The sequence below is a fragment of the Homo sapiens genome, chromosome X, assembly GCF_000001405.40.
Source record: "Homo sapiens chromosome X, GRCh38.p14 Primary Assembly".
Lineage (NCBI taxonomy): Eukaryota > Metazoa > Chordata > Mammalia > Primates > Hominidae > Homo > Homo sapiens.
The window spans coordinates 25,881,591-25,901,854 of NC_000023.11; the positions used below are offsets into that span (position 1 = coordinate 25,881,591).

Genomic DNA, 20,264 nt, shown 5'->3' on the forward strand with positions numbered 1-20,264 from the left:
AGAAGACCCTCATCAGATGTGGCCCCTTGACTTTGGACTTCTCAGCCTCCAGAACTGTAAGAAATAAATATATTGTCTTTATAAAGTACCCAGTTTCAGTTATTCTGTTATTAGCAACAGAAAACAAATCAAGATGATCCTAATAGCCAAAAACTGCAAACAACTCAAATGTCTGTCAACAAATAAATGAATAAACAAATTATGGTATACCTATATGATGGAATACTACTTAGTAATAAGAAAGAACTACTGATAACATGCCATATCTTAGCTGAATCTGGAGAACATTTTACTGAGTGAAAAAGCCAGGTATAAAAGAGTAGATATTATATGATGTTATTTACATAAAATTCAAGCCATGACAAATCTAAATTATAATGATAAAAAGCATTAGTGGTTATCTGAGGCTGAGAATAGGAATTAAACAATGCTATTTGTTAAAAGTAATCTGTTTTAAGTATTTGTGTGATTTCTATTTTCCAGACTGCATCCTAACAAACAACTGTGTCAAGACATTTGAACAGCATATTCTACACAAATAAAAAGGAAATGATAAAGATAAAAGAAATTAATAGAATGGAAAGTGATGGAGATAAACAAGTGAAAAGATGGTCCTTTGAAAAGACTAAAACATGGCCAATGCACTGGCAAGAATGATTGGGACAATAAACAAAATATATATGCCAGGGCAGCTCCCGGCGAGATCGACGCAAAAGGTGGGTGATTTCTGCATTTCCAACTGGGGTACTCAGTTCACCTCATTGGGACTGGTTGGACAGTGGGTGTAGCCCAGGGAGGGTGAGCCAAAGCAGGGTGGGGCATTGTCTCACCCCAGAAGCACAAGGGGTCGGGGGATTTCCCGTTCCTAGCCAAGGGAAGCCGTGAGACACTGTACCGGGAGAAACTGCACTCTGGCCCAGATACTGCACTTTTCCCATGGTCTTCGAAACCAGCAGACCAGGAGACTCCCTCCCGTGCCTGGCTCAATGGGTCCCACCCTCACAGAGCCCAGCAAGCTAAGATCCACTGGCTTGAAATTCTTGCTGCTAGCACAGCAGTCTGAGATCCACCTGGGACTCTCCAGCTTGCTGGCGGGGGAAGGGTCGTCGCCATTGCTGAGGCTTGAGTAGGCAGTTTTCCCCTCACAGTGTAAACAAGGCATCCTGGAAGTTCAAAGTGGATGGAGCCCACTGCAGCTCAGCAAGGCTGCTGCAGGGGCATCTCTGAAAAGAAGGCAGCAGCCCCAGTCAGGGGCTTATAGATAAAACCCTCATCTCCCTGGGACAGAGCACCTGGGGGAAGGGGTGGCTGTGGGCGCAGCTTCAGCAGACTTAAACGTCTCTGCCTGGCAGCTCTTAAGAGAGCAGTGGATCTCCCAGCACAGTATTTGAGCTCTGATAAGGGACAGGCTGCCTCCTCAACTGGGTCCCTGACCCCCATGTATCCTGACTGGGAGACATCTCCCAGTAGGGGCTGACAGATACCTCATACAGGAGAGCTCTTGCTGACATCTGGTGGGTGCCCCTCTGGGATGAAGCCTCCAGAGGAAGGAACAGGCAGCAATCTTTGCTGTTCTGCAGCCTCTGCTGGTGATACCCAGGCAAACAGGGTCTGGAGTAGACCTCCAGCAAACCCCAGCAGCTCTGCAGAAGAGGGGCCTGGCTGTTAGAAGGAAAACTAACAAACAGAAAGGGATAGTAGCAACATCAACAAAAAGGACGTCCACTCAGAGACCCCATCCAAAGGTCACCAGCATCAAAGACCAAAGGTAGATAAATCCACAAAGATGGGGAAAAACCGCCGCAAAAAGGCTGAAAACTCCAAAAACCAGAACGTCTCTTCTCCAAAGGATCAGAACTCCTTGGCAGCAAGGGAACAAAACTGGATGGAGAAGGAGTTTGACGAATTCACAGAAGTAGACTTCAGAAGGTGGGTAATAACAAACTCCTCAAAGCTAAAGGAGCATGTTCTAACCCAATGCAAGGAAGCTAAGAACCTTGGAAAAAGGTTAGACGAATTGCTAACTAGAATAACCAGTTGAGAGAAGAACATAAATGACATGATGGAGCTGAAAAGCACAGCAAGAGAACTTCGTGAAGCATACACAAGTATCAATAGCCAAATCAATCAAGTGGAAGAAAGGATATCAGAGATTGAAGATCAACTCAATGAAATAAAGCAAGAAGACAATATTAGAGAAAAAAGTGAAAAGAAACAAAGCCTCCAAGAAATACGGGACTATGTGAAAAATCCAAATCTACATTTGATTGGTGTACCTGAAAGTGATGGGGAGAATGGAACCAAGTTGGAAAACACTCTTCAGGATATTATCCAGGAGAACATCCCCAACCTAACAAGGCAGATCAACATTCAAATTCAGGAAATACTGAGAACACCACTAAGACATTCCTTGAGAAGAGCAACCCCAAGACACATAATCATCAGATTCACCAAGGTTGAAATTAAGGAAAAAATGTTAAGGGCAGCCAGAGAGAAAGGTCGGGTTACCCACAAAGGGGGGCCCATCAGACTAACAGCACATCTCTCGGTAGAAACCCTATTAGCCAGAAGAGAGTAGGGACCAATATTCAACATTCTTAAAAGAATTCTCAACCCAGAGTTTCGTATCCAGCCAAACTAAGCTTCTTAAGTGAAGAAGAAATAAAATCCTTTACAGTCAAGCAAATGCTGAGAGATTTTGTCACCACCAGGCCTGCCTCACAAGAGCTCCTGAAGGAAGCACTAAACGTGGAAAGGAACAACTGGTACCAGCCACTGCAAAAACACACCAAATTGTAAAGACCATCGATGCTATGAAGGAACTGCATCAACTAATGGGCAAAATAACCAGCTAGCATCATAATGACAGGATCAAATTCACACATAACAATGTTAACCTTAAATGTAAATGGGCTAAATGCCCCAGTTAAAAGACCCATCAGTGTGCTGTATTCAGGAGACCCATCTTACGTGCAAAGACACACATAAGCTCAAAATAAAGAGATGGAGGAATATTTACCAAGCAAATGGAAAGCAAAAAAAGCAGGGGTTGCAATCCTAGTCTCTGATAAAACAGACTTTAAACAAACAAAGATCAAAAGAGACAAAGAAGGCCATTACATAATGGTAAAGGGATCAATGCAACAAGAAGAACTAACTATCCTTATATACAGAAGTGCCCAGATTCATAAAGTAAGTTCTTAGAGACCTACAAAGAGATTTAGACTCCCACACAATAACAGTGGGAGACTTTAACACCTCACTGTCAACATTAGACAGATCAACGAGACAGAAAATTAACAAGGAAGTCCATAACTTGAATTCAGCTCTGGACCAAGTGGACCTAATAGACATCTACAGAACTCTCCACCCGAAATCAACAGAATATATATTCTTCTCAGCACTACATCGCACTTATTCTAAAATTTACCAAATAGTTGGAAGTAAAACACTCCTCAGCAAATGCAAAAGATGGAAATCATAACAAGCAGTCTCTCAGACCACAGTGTAATCAAATTACAACTCAGGATTAAGAAACTCACTCAAAACCACACAACTACATGGAAACTGAACAACCTGCTCCAGAATGACTACTGGGTACATAACGAAATGAAGGCAGAAATAAAGATGTTGTTTGAAACCAATGAGAACAAAGACACAACATAACAGAATCTCTGGGACACATTTAAAGCATATGTAGAGGGAAATTTATAGCACTAAATGCCCACAAGAAAAAGCAGGACAGATCTAAAATCGACCCCCTATCATCACAACTAAAAGAACTAGAGAAGCAAGAGCAAACACATTCAAAAGCTAGCAGAAGACAAAAAATAACTAAGATTAGAGCAGAACTGAAGGAGATAGAGACAGGAAAAAACCTTCAAAAAAATCAATGAATCCAGGAGCTGGTTTTTTGAAAAGGTCAACAAAATAGATGGACCACCAGCAAGACTAATAAAGAAGAAAAGAGAGAAGAATCAAATAGACGCAATAAAAAATGTAAAAGGGGATATCACCACCAATCCCACAGAAATACAAACTACCATCAGAGAATACTATAAACACCTCTACACAAATAAACTAGAAAATCTAGAAGAAATGGATAAATTCCTGGACATGTACACTCTCCCAAGACGAAACCAGCAAGAAGTCAAATCCCTGAGTAGACCAATAATAAATTCTGAAATTGAGGCAGTAATTAATGAGATACCATCTCATGCCAGTTAGAATGGTGATCATTGAAAAGTCAGGAAAGAACAGATGCTGGAGAGGATGTGGAGAAATAGGAATGCTTTTACACTGTTGGTGGGAGTGTAAATTAGCATAACACATCAAAATATACATAAAATAAAATGTATTATGGTCAAGTAGCTTTACGAGAATTAAAGGTTGGATTCATATTTAAGAATAGATCAGTGCCATTTTGCACACCATCAAATAAAGGATAAAAAAAATCACATGATCATTTCAACTGATATGGGGAAAGCAATTGATAAAATACAATGTCCAAACATTACTTACCAAAAAGAAAAAATAACCTCTTAGCGAACTAGAAATTGGAGACAGCTTTCTTAAATTTGTCAAGATTTTCTACAAAAAATAAAACTATGTGAAACATCATTGAATTTAATCGCAAAATGTTGAAAGGCTTCCCTCTATGATAAAGAATAAAGGGATGTACTCTATAATCACTTCTATTCATCATTGAATTGAAAGTTCCAAGAGTGCAAAAATGTCAAAAAAATGAACGAAAGTACGTGTGTTTTTAAGGAAGAAATAAAACTGTAATTCTCATATATCATTGTCTATTCAGAAAATTAAAAATAACAGGAAGACTAATCAAATAAATAATGGTATTGGCAAGTTTAATACAAAAATATCCATTGCATTTCTATATCCTAGCAAAATTGGAAAATAAAATGTTAAAATGATACCATTTATAATAGTATAAAGCACACATATCTTCCCAAAATAAAACTGAATCAAAAAACATATGTTAGAATGTTTGTGGCAGTTTTATTTGTGATTGCCAAAATGAGAAACAACCCAATGTCTGTTAGTAAATGGATAAATAAATATAGGACACATCATACAATGAAAACCTATAATAGCAATGGTTCTTAGACTTTTTATCTAAGGACAGTTTTACACTCTAACAAAAAATTGAAGACCTTAAAATGCTTTTGTTTATACGAGTTTTGTCTATCGATATTTACAGTATTAGCAACTGAAACTGAGATGTTTTAAATGTTCTGTCAAGAATTGTGAAGTGTCTGAGAATTTCCTGTGCTTGCAAGCTAACAAGTTAGCCTGCCAGAGTTTCATGTATGCTAGTAGAAGACACAAGAATATCAGGTCAAAGACAAAGGACATTATAACTTACAGCAATAGCAGTACCCAGAGTATCAGCATTATCTTGTGTCAGTTTTCCAAGCCCAAGTTCCCCAGGACAACATGATTAGGGCCAAGTGACAGCAGCACATGCAATGAGTAATGTTACAGAAGAGAAACCCTGAGCTTAGGAGCCTGATTATTTTATAATGAGCAATAAGCATACCTTCTCTTTGTTCAGGAGGGAGACACTACCTCTCTTTTCCAAAGCTATCCCTTATATAAACATCCTTGAAAAAGCACTCCGGAACAAAGGCAGTGAGTGCTTCCATTCTAGCAAAGACTTGGAACCAACCCAAATGTCCAACGATGATAGACTGGATTAAGAAAATGTGGCACATATACACCATGGAATACTATGCAGCCATAAAAAATGATGAGTTCATGTCCTTTGTAGGGACATGGATGAAACTGGAAATCATCATTCTCAGTAAACTATCGCCAAGGACAAAAAACCAAACATCACATGTTCTCACTCATAGGTGGGAATTGAACAATGAGAACACATGGACACAGGAAGGGGAACATCACACTCTGGGGACTGTCGTGGGGTGGGGGGAGCGGGGAGGGATAGCATTAGGAGATATACCTAATGCTAAATGACGAGTTAATGCGTGCAGCACACCAGCATGGCACATGTATACATATGTAACTAACCTGCACATTGTGCACATGTACCCTAAAACTTAAAGTATAATAATAATAAAATAAAAAAAAGAAAGTACAGAAACAGAAGAGATTCAAAGAATTATCCTCTAGCCCACTCATTCCATGTTAAAATAAATAACATTTTATGAAAAATGGCTATTTTCCAAAACAAAATAAAATTATTGGAGAGAGTGGCATTGCTTTACAAGTTTACAAATCTATTCAATGTCTGGTTTAGTGAAAGAAGTGTATCTGCTTTTGCATTCATTCTGTTTTGATATCACATGTTATATAGCGTTTGGAAACTTCTATATACTCACAAGAAAATGAAAAGTCAAATAACATATATTGATGATGATTGATAGTTTTTTGATGTTACTGACTCTCTGAAAGGGTCTCGGGAATTCCCAAGGGTGCCCAGACTACACTTTGAGAACTGATTCCATGTATCAGTACAAATAAAACAGTGCAGAAACTAATCGCATGGATGAACCTCAAAGGACCAAATATATCAAAAACAAAATTGAATATACTATGTGATTCCATTTATATTAACTTCAGAAAGATAAAATTAATTGTGATAGGAGTCGGAAAGGTTAGCGATTAGGAGGAGGTATGGATAGGGACAGTGCTGAGTTCCTGGCTACATTTTGATTCTTACTAGTGTTTTCATAAATGCACTGACTGCATAAATTGGAAAAAATGTGTACAAGAATGGTTTTAGCAGCATTCTCTATTAGAGTTATGTGTTGTGTCCCACCAAAGGATGTGAAGTCCTAACCCCCAGTAATCAGAATGTGACTTTATTTGGTCATGGGGTCATTGCAGATGTAGTTGGTTAAGATGAGGTCATACTGGAGTACACTAGGTTCTTAATTCAATATGACTGCTATTCTTACAGGGAAAGGGAAGTTTGGGCAGAAATACATAGGGAGAATGTCATGTGATAACAAAGACAAATATTGGAATTATGCAGCTGCACACCAAGGAATGCCAAAGATTGCTGGCAAATAAACATAAGCTAGAAAGAGGAAAGGAAAGATTCCCCTACAGGTTCCAGAGGGAGTATTGCCCTGCAGACACCTTGAATTTGGACTTCCATCCTCCAGAACTGTGAGACAATACATTTCTAATGTTTTAAGCCACTTGATTTGTAGTACTTTGTTATGGCAGCCCTCGGGAAATAGTACAGCAAGTAACTGGGAGCAACCTAGATGTCTGAAACAGATGGAAAATTAAATAAAATACTGCAAGAAAATTTTTAAATAAATGAGGTAGATATGTAAGTACTAATATAAAAATGTTCAAAATAAATCTAAAAGAGCAAGTTACATAAAAATGTATTGTTACATTTGTGTAAAGGAAACTAATACACGTGTGTGTGTGTGTCTATTTGTAAGGAAACAATAGAAATATCAATAGTTTTATGTCTGTGGGATAAATAACCAGAAAAAGGGAATATCTTATTTTTTTACTTTAACCTTTAATTTTTAAACCATAATCATGTATAGCTTTTATAATGGAAAAAATGCAAATCTGTTCCTTTACTGTCCAAGTTATTTCAGTGGATTCTTTTTGCCTGTAAAAGTTGAAATCCTTATCCAAGACCTACACTGTGGCTTCCCCAAACTCTCCATCCTTGGCTTTACCTCTTTCTGTCCCTACTCTTTCTTACCTCTAAATGGTGCCTGGAACATAGAAGACACTCAAACATTTGTTACTTGAATAAATAAATTAATTAACTGCTCCAATGCACCTTAAGTTTAACAGATCAAGGCCTTCTTTCTAAATATAACACTTTCAACTTTCTCAACCTATCCCCTTCGCATCTTATAAGGCTAAGCTTAAACATCACTTCTGCTAGGAAGACTGCCTGACATTGCAAACTTTGTTAGGTCTGTCTGGTTCTAGGCTCCCAGGACACCTATTTCTCCCACTTAACACTCAGAATAGTAGTACTGAGGTTGAGTATCCCTTTCTGAAATGCTTAGGACCAGAAAGTAGTGTTTCAGATTTTAGATTTTTTTCAGATTTTGGAATATTTGCACATACATAATGAGATATCTTGGGACTCAAGGCTAAACATGAAATTCATTTATGTTTCATATACATCTTATACACATAGCCTGAAGGTATCTTTATACAATATTTTAAATAATTTTGTGCATAAAACGAAGTTTATATTAAGTACTTATGTGTGGAATTTTCCATGGTGGTGTCATGTCACTGCTCATAAAGTTATGGATTTTGGAGCTTTTCAGGTGTCAGATTTTCAGATTAAGGAAGCTCATCGTGTAATCTTGTATAGTCATGAGTTACTTAATGATGGAAATACATTGTGAGAAATGCATCAGTAAGGCGATTTAGTTGTGCGAACATCATAGAGTGTACTTATATAAACCTAGATAGTATAGCCTACTACACACCTAGACTATATGGTGTAGCCTATGGGTCCTAGGCTACCAATTTTTATAGCATGTGACTACTGAATACTGTACGCAGTTGTAACACAATGACAAGTATTTGTTTCTCTAAACATAAATAAACAGAAAAGATACTGCGAAAATATGATATAAAAGATTAAAAATGGTACCCTATATAGGGTACTTACTGTGGATGGAGCCTGAAGGACTAGAAGTTGCTCTGGGTGAGTGAGTGGTGAGTGAATATGAAGGCCAGGACATTACTATACACTACTATAGACTTTATAAATACTGTACACTTAGGCTACCCTAAATTTATAAAAATATTTTTCTTTCTCTAAAACAAATTTAACTTTTGCTTACTTTAAGCTTTCTACTTTTTAAACTTTTCAATTTTTTTAGCTTTTTGATTCTTTTTTAATAAAACTTAGCTTAAAACACACACATTGTTCAGCTGTACAAAAATATTTTTTCTATAAGCTTTGTTCTATTTATTTACTTTTTAAATGTTTTTGTTAAAAACAAATGCACAAACACACACATTAGCCTAGGCCTAAACAGCGTCAGGATCAATGTCAACGTCACTGTCTTCTACCTCCACATATTGTCCCACTGGAAGGTCTTCAGAGGCAATAACTCACATGGAGCTGCCATGTCCTACGATAACAATGCTTTCTTCTGGAATACCTCCTGAAGGGGCTCCCTGAGACTGTTTTACAGTTAAACTTAAAAAAATCAGTAGGACTACACACAAAAATAACCAAAAAAGTATAGTATGGTAAAATACATAAACCAGTAACATAGTAATTTATTATCAAGTATTATGTACTGTACATAGTTGTATATGTGATACTTTCATATGACTGGCAGGGCAGTAGGTTTGTTTACACCAGCATCATCACAAATACATGAGTAATATGTTATGCTATGACTTTACAAATGGCTACGATATCTCTAGGCATAGGAATTTTTCAGCTCCTTTATAATCTTATAGGACTACCTTCATTAATGTGGTCTGTCGTTGACCCAAACATTGTTATGTTGTGCATGACTATAATTACAACTGTGACCACCCCTGCCAGTCCGTCTAGCCTACTCCCTATCTTCACTCCGTTATTTCTCAATGACCCCTAAATCTCCAATCTATTTATATTACATTAATATTTCTATACCCACAATCCCACCCCCCATACACTCACTTCCTTTATTATTTAGCTTATATTCTGGAGTCCTTCAATTGTAGCAAGTCTCTGGCCATTACTAACTTACTTGCCCTTCATACTGCACTTACCTGGCAAAATGCTTTACCTTCCACATGATCTCTTTATCTCATTTACATTTTGTTTTCTAAGATATTCTTTTTGCAGTGAGTCCTCCTTTCTCCTGAATTATCAGCTATTTCTGCTGTATAAGATCATTCTATTGTCATACAAAATATTCTCTGGTGTCTTTGTCATTAATATATCTAATCTTGACATAACTTGAGTATAAGTATCATTCATTAATATTACTTGAGGATGCATATTATACTTATGTACTCAATGTAAAGATGATTCAGAATAAATTCTAAAATTACTAAGATGAGAAATAGCATGGAGTTTATTTTAAATATTCACGTAATGTTTCTAAGATGCTGAACTTTTGAGCTCTGCTCTTTTTATACTTTATTCAGGTTCAGCTACATTTAAAATAACAGAACTATTCATTTTAGCAATTGACATAACAAACTCTGACTACTATTCAAAATTTTATGATATATCAGAATACTGGAGAGGGAAGTAAGCCTATGCAAAATATACAGAAAAGTTTTTTTCTTTGTTATTCTAGTAACCTCACAACTACTCAATAAATCCCTTTATGATTATGTAGTACTTGTTCCTGAAGCCATAATAAAAGTACAAAAAAGAAAAGAGAACAGAGGTTTTAGTCATATCTACCTGGCAAAATATCAGCCATATCTACATGGAGAGTCCGCATAGTATGAAAGTTTGCTTATAGAAACAAGCTTTCAAAGGTGTAGTTCATAGAATACCACGCTTTCACCAACTAGATAGTGGCTAATATGACAGGTCAATCTAAATAACAGAATAATATGTCAACATAGTTGGTGAAACAACATTGTTTTGCTTGACCAAATGCTAAACTAAAAGGTTCAGACAGATTTAAGGAAATCTGAGATGGTATCATTGAACTCTAGAAACTTAGAAAAGTAGAATGAATTATTGCTTGGGTCAAATCAGCAAGTTGTAACTCAGCAAGTATAACTCAACAAGAATCTCTTGAGCCCCTGCTACATGCAAGGCATTGCCCTAAGCACGGGCTTTGGATCTGTGGAAAGGAGTGAGGTAGGTAATCTCTCTCATCCTTGATTTTGAAGACACCAGTTTACCCTCCATTCTTTCATGTTCTACAAGTCTCTGTGTAAATGAAATTTTATCCAGGCCAGTTAAAAACTTACTTACCCCTGAGTTGTTAACGTAACATTTATAACTGGTCTCCCCACCACCAATGTATCTCCAGAGCAAACACCTCATGGCAGGCTCTGAGTTTGTACTAATTCAGTACAGCATAATCAGGAAACTAGTACACTCTTTTATGCTAGGACAAGGTCCTTTTGAACTGCATCTTTTGGTATTATCCCTTTTTTAGCCTGTGTCTTAGCTACATGGAATTGCTTGGAGTTTCCAGAATATCTCAAACTTTCCTACTTTAGTACTTCTGTACATGGGTCCTGTGTCTGGAATGACTTTTCCTGCCTACTTTATCTCTTTCATTTTTGCTTTATTGTTTTGAATTGTTGATATTGTTACTATTTTTTAACTTATTTTTTTCTATTGGCATGATTGTACTTTTTTCTGGTTTTCTTTTAATTCTGGGAAATTTGGAATGTTTTGGAAAATAAAACAAAAATCTCACCATCCAAATCTATCTATAACTGTAGTTTTGGTCTGTATACGTCTAGTCATTTATTTGAACAACTTTATAATTTAAACTCTTATAGACTATCATGAATGCTATTTTATAATCTACCATTCCTTGTAATATTGTGAGCTTCTATTATTACTATTTGATAATCTAATAACTATTTTTAACTATCACAATTACATTCAACTGTAGGAGATTGGTCAGAGTGGTGGGAGAAATCATAGGGAAAGGGCACAAACCTTCTGAAAAGTCAGAAGGCTCTGCATAGCATCGGGGGAGAAGCTGAAGGCAGTCATTCTCTTACCTTGAGGCAGAGGGCAAGGAGTAGGTACAAGGAAGTGTAAGGAAATTTAGCATAAACAGGCTTGTTTACTTATGTTAACCAGGAACCGACCTTTGATCATCCGCACGTGAGACTGCTCCCAGAAAGGGGGAACAATGTTAATTACCCACAGACTACGTTGGATCCAGGCTTTCGGCATTATGTCTGTACTAAATAAAAGCAAGCGCTGCAGCTTATTAAAACTGCTCACTCTTTGGCAGTCCCCTAGCTGCTCTTACACTGCATACATGTGTCTGAGTACTCCTTTCATCCATTGCTCAGCCAGGGTCTGCGGGACGGACCTGGCAGCTGGTGCCCTGTGTGAGGATCACTGCAACGGATCGTGACAGAACCCTCAAAAATGAAGGTGAAGAGACTGTGCAGTCAGTAAGTCATTGGTGCCCACTTGGGATTTCCAAGTTTGAGGGAATTTTCAAGCTAGGGTTTCATCATGGGACAACAGTTATCAGATAACAGCAACAGTATATAAAAGTATTGAAACAGCTGCTTAAAGCTAGCAGAGCCTCGGTTTCTCAAGCTCAATTAAGGGATCTTATGCAAACTGTTGTTTCCTGTAACCCATGGTTCCCAGAAGAAGGTACGCTAGACCTAGAGCTCTGGGAGCAAGTGGGGAGAAATCTTAAACAACATCCTGCACAACGGCAACGGGTCCCAGTAAACATCTTTAACGTTATGGGCCTTAGGACTGCTTTGGCCCTACTCTACACAGAAGAGCCTATAAAGGGAAGGGAGGAAGAACCATCACCTACCTTACCACCTCCTCCTCCTCCCTCAGCCCTGCTGTTACCGGGTAAAGATACAAAAGACGAAAAAGATTTTCCCTGAGCCCCCTCCCCGAACACATCGGAAAAAAGACAAGGGATACACTACAGTTATGGAACCCTGTCTTAGGCAAGCAGCATGAGAAGGGGAGCTCTTGGCCTGCCCGGTGATGCAAGATCAACAAGGCAATACTTATAAAGAGATAAGGAAAAGCATTAGAGAAAAAGAAGCCACTAGCCCATTTATGAAAGGATTAATTGAGACCACAGCAGACTACTTCCATGTGACCCCATGGGACTGGTCAGTGCTAGCTAAAACAACTTTAGAGCCCAGTCAATACCTCCTTTGGAAGGCAGAATATGATGAGTTGTGCAAACAACAAGCCAACCGGATTCAATTTGCCAGGCAAAACATAATGGCTGCTATGCTCCAGGGCAGTGGTCCCTATGTGAATGTGCAACAACAATTAAGTTTTGTTCCCCAGGCCTGTGCACAAGTGTCTTTGTGTGCTCTCAGGGCTTCGGACCAAATTCTCTAATGCCGAATTCAACAGGTATCTTTTGTAAATATTCGACAAGGGCCTCAGGAGCCATTTGTTGAATTTATCAATCGGTTAACCCAGGCAATTAAAAAACAATCATGCACAGGCCACTGATATCTTATTGTTGCAGTTGGCTTATGAAAATACTAATGTAGACTGCCAGCAGGCAATGCAGGAAATCAGAGGAAAGGCAGCTACAGTTGAGAAACTTATATGAGCATGTCAGCTGGTGGGGACTGAAACACACAAATCCAGAATATTGGCTATGGCATTAAAGTCTCCTAACGTGAAAAGGGAGAAAAACCCAAATTGTTTTCTGTGTGAAGAGCCAGGTCATATGAAGCGGGAATGCCCCAATAGTAAAGACCAAAGTAACTCAGAAAAAGTACCCCCCTCTATATGCCCCCAATGTAAAAAGGGGAAACATTGGACAAATCAATGCAAGTCTAAATTTGATAAAAATGGGAACCCCCTAAGTAATCAAGTGGGAAATTTAATGCAGGGCCAGCCATAAGCCCCACTCCAAACTGGGGCAATGCCAGCGGCTTTCCTTGGTCAGATGGGAGGCCCACAATTCTCTTAGAGCAGCCACCTCAGGGAGCCCAGGACTGGACTTACTCTGCCCCAATGAATTAGTGCTAAAAGGAGGAGAAGACCCTAAAAGGGTTGCAATATGAATCTGGGGCCCACAGCCTCTGGGAACAGTGGGATTAGTCCTAGGGTGATCAAGCATATCCAGTAAAGGAATCAGTGTGCTCACCAGGGTAATTGTGATTATCAAGGTGAGATATTAGTTATGTTGCAATGTAAAGGTCTACATATTCTTCCCCCTAAATCTAAAATAGCTCAGTTACCAGTTGTACCATCCTGGGTCCCCAGCGCCCAGGGAAAGGAAAGGGGAGAAGGAGATTTTGGAAGCACAGGAGCCACAAGAGTATATTGGGACCAATTAATCACTGATCAGAGACCCATGATTACTTTAAAAATTGGAAATGAAAATTTTACTGGCTTATTAGACACAGGGGCAGACATTTCAATCATTAGTGATCAAAACTTGGCCGTGGGTCACTCAGAAACAAAAAAATTGTTGGACTGGGGAAGCACATACAGCCAAGAAGAGCACGCACTCCCTAACATGTAGCGATTCAGAGGGAAGGAAAGCAGTCATACACCTCTAATCATGCCCATCCTTGTTAATCTTTGGGGACAGGACCTATTAGCCCAATGAGGGGGTCACTCTGCTGACCCCTTTCTAATAACAGCCACTTATTCCTTCCCTGCCCCTGACGTGGCTCTCTCATAATCCAATTTTGGTAGAGCAGTGGCCTTTAAAGGGAGAGAAATTACAAAGAGCCCATGAATTAGTTTAGGAATAATTAAAAGCTGGCCATATAAAACCATCAAACAAAAGGATGAGTTCATGTCCTTTGTAGGGACATGGATGAAGCTAAAAACCATCATTCTGAGCAAACTTTCGCAAGGACAGAAAACCAAACACCACATGTTCTCACTCATAGGTGGGAGTTGAACAATGAGAACACTTGGACACAGGGTGGGGAACATCACACACCGGGGCCTGTCGTGGGGTGGGGGGAGTGGGGAGGGATAGCATTAGGAGATATACCTAATGTAAATGACGAGTTAATGGGTTCAGCACACCAACATGGCACATGTATACATATGTAACAAACCTGCATGTTGTGCACATGTACCCTAGAACTTAAAGTAAAAAAAAAAAAAAAAAAAAAAAAAAAAAACCTATCAAACAGTCCTTGGAATTCGCCCATTTTTGTCATTCCCAAAAAATCTGGTAAATGGAGACTTTTGCATGACTTACATGTTATCAATGCTAATTTGCAACCTACGGGGCCCCTTCAGCAGGGGCTCCCTTCCCCCCGCAGGGATTCCTCGAGATTGGCCCATTGTCATTATTGACTTAAAAAACTGTTTTTATACTGTTCCCCTTGCAAAACAGAACAGAAAAAAATTTGTGTTTACAATACCAGCTGTCAATAATGAATGGCCAGCTCGCAGATTTCACTGGAAAGTACTTCCTCAAGGAATGCTAAACAGTCCTACCATGTGTCAGTATGATGTAAATCAGCCTTTGCTCCCCAGTAGAAAAGAATTTCCTAATTGCAAGATCATCCATTTTATGGATGATCTCTTACTGGCAGCCCCAACAGAGCCAATACTTTCAAATGTATATGCCTCTGTCAAAAAGAATACACAGTTAAAAGGTTTAATCATAGCACCTAGAAAAGACAAATGACCTCTCCTTGGAAATATCTTAAATACATACTAACTTCCCAGTCAGTAAGACCTCAAAAGGTTAAACTGAACACTGACAACTTACACACCTTAAATAATTATCAAAAATTACTGGGCAATATTAACTGGCTTCGCCCCACCTTGGGCATAACTACTGATAAATTACAGAACCTGTTTTCTATGCTAAAGGGCAATGCAGCCCTGGACTCTCCCAGGTATTTAACCCCCGCTGCAAAAAGGGAAATTGAGGAAATAAAGCAAACTATTTCTCAGAGGCAACTAGATCGCATAAACCCGTGATATTCAGTCCAATTATTTGTATTTCCTACTAAACGTTCCCCAACAGGATTAATAGGACACATGGCCCCAGGGCTACATTTCCTGGAATGGGTTTTTTGCTCACATACCTGGACTAAAACACTATCTCCCTATGTCCAGCTACTTAGTAAAGTCATCTATACAGGCCGCAGATGATGCAATCAATTGCTAGGTTAAGACCCTGATGTCATAAGAATACCCTTAAGTAAACAATTTGAAGCAGTCCTGCCCCTATCTCTAAACCTTCAGATAGCACTCTGAATATGCGGGTCATATAAAATGCCCTTCCCGCTGACTATTCCAGTTCTTATCTCATACTCCTATAGTTATACCTACAAAGGTAGTTCACTCCCCAATACCTAACGCTTTAACACTTTTCACTGATGGCTCTGGTAAAAATGGAAAAGCAGCTATTTGGTAGGAACCGCATAACTCCCTCACTCAATCTGGATTTACTAGTACTCAGAGAGCTGAGGTTAAAGCCCTAATATTGGCCCTAGAAACCCTTTCCGCTCAGCATATCAATATTGTTAGTGACTCTGCTTACTCTGTTTATTTATTGCAGAACCTTGAGACAGCCCTCATTAAGTCCACTGTCAATCCCACCCTGTGTGGACTTTTTCTTCAACTTCAGCAATTGCTGGATCAATGTACATATCCTATTTTTATTACACACATTCAGGCCCACAGCTTGCTTCCCGGTCCACTAATTCATGGCAATGATCAAGCAGACCTGCCGGTTATGACGTCACTGCTTGACCAAGCCACCCAATCGCATCAATTGTTCCACTAAAATTGGAGAAACTTAACAATTTCAACTTACCCAAAGACTAAACAAATTATTTTACAGTGACCAGATTGCCAGCTCACAGGCACATCCCCTCCTTCAACAAGTGTTAACCCTAGAGGACTAGAACCTAATCAATTATGGCAAACAGATGTTACACACATCCCTAAATTTGGAAAACTAAGATATGTACATATATCCAGTGATACCTATTCCCACCTAATTAGTGCTTATGCTCTTCCTGGAGAGTCTGACCAATATATCATTAAACATCTTAACTTTTGCGTTTATGGGATGGCCCACAGAAATTAAAACTGATAATGGTCCGGCTTATGCCAGCTCACAGTTTCACAAGTTTTGTCACACATGGAACATCCAACATTCCACAGGCATCCTGTATAACCCCCAAGGACAGGCCATAGTAGAACATGTCCACCCCACCCTTAAAAATGTACTCAGAAAACAAAAAAGGGGGAATATGAGTAAGGACCCTATAACACTATTGGCACAAGCCTTATTTACCCTTGACTTTTTAAATTTAGATAAATTTCAATCAGCCATAGAAAAGCATTTTGTAAAACCCCCTTAAGACACAAAACCCACGGCTTTCTGGAAAGATGTAAATAGTAATGTATGGTGTGGTCCAAATGATTTGTTAACATGGGGAAGACAATATGCTCGTGTTCACACCCCCTCAGGTCCGCTTTGGACAGCACACCAAACCATACTGTGGTGTGGCTAGGACCCAACCTGGTACCAGAAATGAAGAAAATGACCCTGCAGGACCCACAGCCCCAGACGATGCGGCTTCCTTGGATGACACAGACCTTGGATATTACCTGGGGGATGCTGAAGATGACAACTCAGAAGGCTGAGTGAATCCTGCTCTGGACACAGATGCCATTCACTCCAGATAATTTGTTCCTTGCTATGCTTTCTGTTGTACACTGCAACTCTCATAGGTTATTAACCTTTCTTATTCTCTCACTCTGCCTGCAACCCGTACCTGCTACCTCTATTGGGCCCATCTTCTGGATCTGCCCTTCTTTCACCCTGTTACTTGGGCGGACACCCCCTTCCCAGCCTCTAACAATGTGACTACTTGGCTAGGAGGGATTGACATACCCCCAGCAGGGTCCCTCATTAATGGCACACATTGGACTAAGATGCCAGGTAACACTACATATCACTTCACTATCCTCCCACTGTGTGTAAGTTATAAAAGTTCTAACCCCTACTCTGTACCTGCCTAAACATAATTATAGCTACATCATGGCAAAGGAAATGCCTTAACATTCTTGGTTGCAGGTAGCCTCAAACCAGGCAACGCAACCAATGCCACTTTCCCGACATTCCTCCCTGTGCTAAAGAACAAAGGCAGGAAAGTAATGGATTCCACTTTGGCTGGGAGATCTGTCATAGGGGACAAGCCCATAGCCTCCAGTTAGGCGATTATAACATCATAGACTGGAGCCACCACAGCCACTTGCAGGCTAACCATACTGATGTCCGCATCCATCGTGGCATCAATCACAGTTTCGTAGGCACATCCCATTCCCCTATGATTTGGGCTGATGGGGGGATGGGATATTCCAGACCCCAAATTAAGTCCATGCCTCTCCAAGACACTTTATGGTGCCTGGGACATCTTAGCACCACCCTTAAAACCTGGCATAGGAAATATCAAAATTCCAGTAACAATTATAGTATGACCTTTATTCGTAATTACACAGTTCAATGCCTGATTTGCACTTCCCATCCATACATTTTCCTTATGGAAACCAGTATTTCCATAATACCCCAAAACTCCACGTTTGTGACCTGAGTGCAGGGACAGACTTGGTTCGCCTCATGTATCACTAATTACAATATATCTAATTTAAATATTACTAGTGTCATGGTATTAAGAAGACAATCGGAGGCATTACTACCGGTCAATTTGACACCTGATTGGCAAGGTTCATCTGTTCTTGCCACCTTAGAGTGAGCCCTGTCCCAGGTCAGACACAAAAGATTCATAGGTACACTTATAGCCTTTATAAGTCTCAGCCATAGTCATCCTAGCCACTGCTAGTGTTGCTGTTGCATCTATTACTGAATTGGTACAAACAGCTACCTTTGTGGATAGCTTAGCCAGAAATGTGTCTAATGAACTTCTCCTACAGCAGGGTATAGATAAAAAAATTCTTGCACGTCTGCAAGCCCTTGAGGCGCCTTGGAATATGTAGGGGAACGACAAGATGCACTGGCATTCCAACAGCAATTAAACTGCGACTGGGAACATAAGCATATTTGTGTCACCTCTCTACCACGGAATCAATCAATATGTAGTTGGGATGAGGTGAAACAACACCTCTGGGGAACCTTACATGATAATTTAACAGCAGACATAAAGCAACTTAAAACTAAAATGCAAGAATCCCTAAATGCCATAGATCTACATGCCCAACAAACAGCCATATGGAAGGATCATCTAATAAATAGGGCTTGGTTAAATTATTATTTTTGGAAACATAAATTAAAATTGGAGCCCTATATCCAACTATACAAGAAAATCAATCCCAGGTAAATTAAATACAGACATGTAGTTAAAAATCACACATGTACACAAATTAGAATAATGTATGGTTGAATATTAAGGTCCAGCTTGTCAAATTTTGTTTTTATTGCAATTGCTTTTGAGGACTTAGCCAAAAATTCTTTGCCAAGACTGTCAAGAAGAGTATTTCCTAGGTTTTCTCCTAGGATTTTTAGTTTGAGGTTTTACATTTAAATCTTTCATCCATCTTAAGCTAATTTTTTTTTTTTTTTTGCATTTCTACCATGTTATTTATTTTGGTAAGTACTGTCATCTTTTGTTATGAGCCATATTTCATTCAATAGTGTTTAATGACTTTTTTCCAAATCATTACTCCATAATATTTACTGAGAATCAAACAGAACTTACAATAGAAAAAAGAGACACTTGACACATTTTTAGAATACTTCATTGCTAATTTTTTTACGTAGTGAAAGGTAAGCATCCAGTTTCATTATTCTGCATATGGCTAGCCAGTTATCCCAGCACTATTTATTGAATAGGGAGTCCTTTCACCATTGCTTTAGTTGACCTTGTTGAAGATCAAATGTATGGCTTTATTTCTAAGTTTTCTAGTCTGTTCCATTGGTCTATGTGTCTCTTTCTTTACCAGTACCATGCTGTTTTGGTTACTATAGCCTTACAGTATAGTTCGAAGTCAGGTAGCCCGATGTCTCCAGCTTTGTTCTTTTTGCTTAGGATTGCTTTTGCTATTTCAGCTCTTTTTTGGTTCCATATGAATTTAATCATAGTTTTTCTAGTTCTGTGAAGAATGATGTTCATAGATTGATAGGAATAGTGTTGAAATTGTAAATTGCTTTGGGCAGTATGGCCATTTTAATGATACTGACTTTTCTAATCCATGAGCATGGAATGTTTTTCCATTAATTTGAGTCATCTCTGATTTGTTTCAGTAGTGTTTTGTAGTTCTTTTAGAGATCCCTCACCTTCTTAGTTAGCTGTATTCCTAGGTATTTAATTTTCTGTGTGGTCATTGTAAATGGTATTGTGTTCTTAATTTGACTCTCAGTCTGAACACTGTTGGTGTATTTAAATGCTACTTATTTTTGTATATTGATTTTGTATCCTGAAATCTTACTAAAATTATCAGATCTAGAGGCTTATTGGCAGAGTCTTTAGGTTTTTGTAGGTGCAGAATCATATAATCAGTGAAGAGAGATATAATGTTTTGACTTCTGCTTTTCCTATTTGGATGCCTTTTATTTCTTTCTCTTGCCTGATTCCTCCAGCTAGGCCTTCCTATTTATTTATTTACT

The 20,264-nt window shown here is 38.9% G+C and overlaps 1 long non-coding RNA gene across 2 annotated transcripts in view, besides 2 other annotated features; it reads left to right on the top strand.

The window, feature by feature from the left end:
* The window catches only part of LOC107985707 (uncharacterized), a 63,493-nt gene extending 62,778 nt beyond the window's left edge, over window positions 1-715 (top strand). For both annotated transcript variants that reach the window (XR_001755821.2, XR_001755820.1), the window contains exon 4: window positions 484-715. This is a non-coding gene — a long non-coding RNA (uncharacterized LOC107985707). The remainder of the gene's footprint in view (window positions 1-483) is intronic.
* Window positions 340-1,539: an enhancer, noted in NCBI's record as "CDK7 strongly-dependent group 2 enhancer chrX:25900047-25901246 (GRCh37/hg19 assembly coordinates)". NCBI's record gives its function as "activates an origin of replication core promoter dependent on BRD2, BRD4, P300/CBP, MED14 and CDK7 cofactors, with strong dependence on CDK7, by STARR-seq in HCT116 cells {active_cell/tissue: HCT116}" and the evidence as "EXISTENCE:reporter gene assay evidence [ECO:0000049][PMID:35650434]".
* Window positions 515-1,015: an enhancer, noted in NCBI's record as "H3K4me1 hESC enhancer chrX:25900222-25900722 (GRCh37/hg19 assembly coordinates)". NCBI's record gives its function as "activates a minimal SCP1, AML or CMV promoter by ChIP-STARR-seq in primed H9 embryonic stem cells {active_cell/tissue: H9 hESC(primed)}" and the evidence as "EXISTENCE:reporter gene assay evidence [ECO:0000049][PMID:30033119]".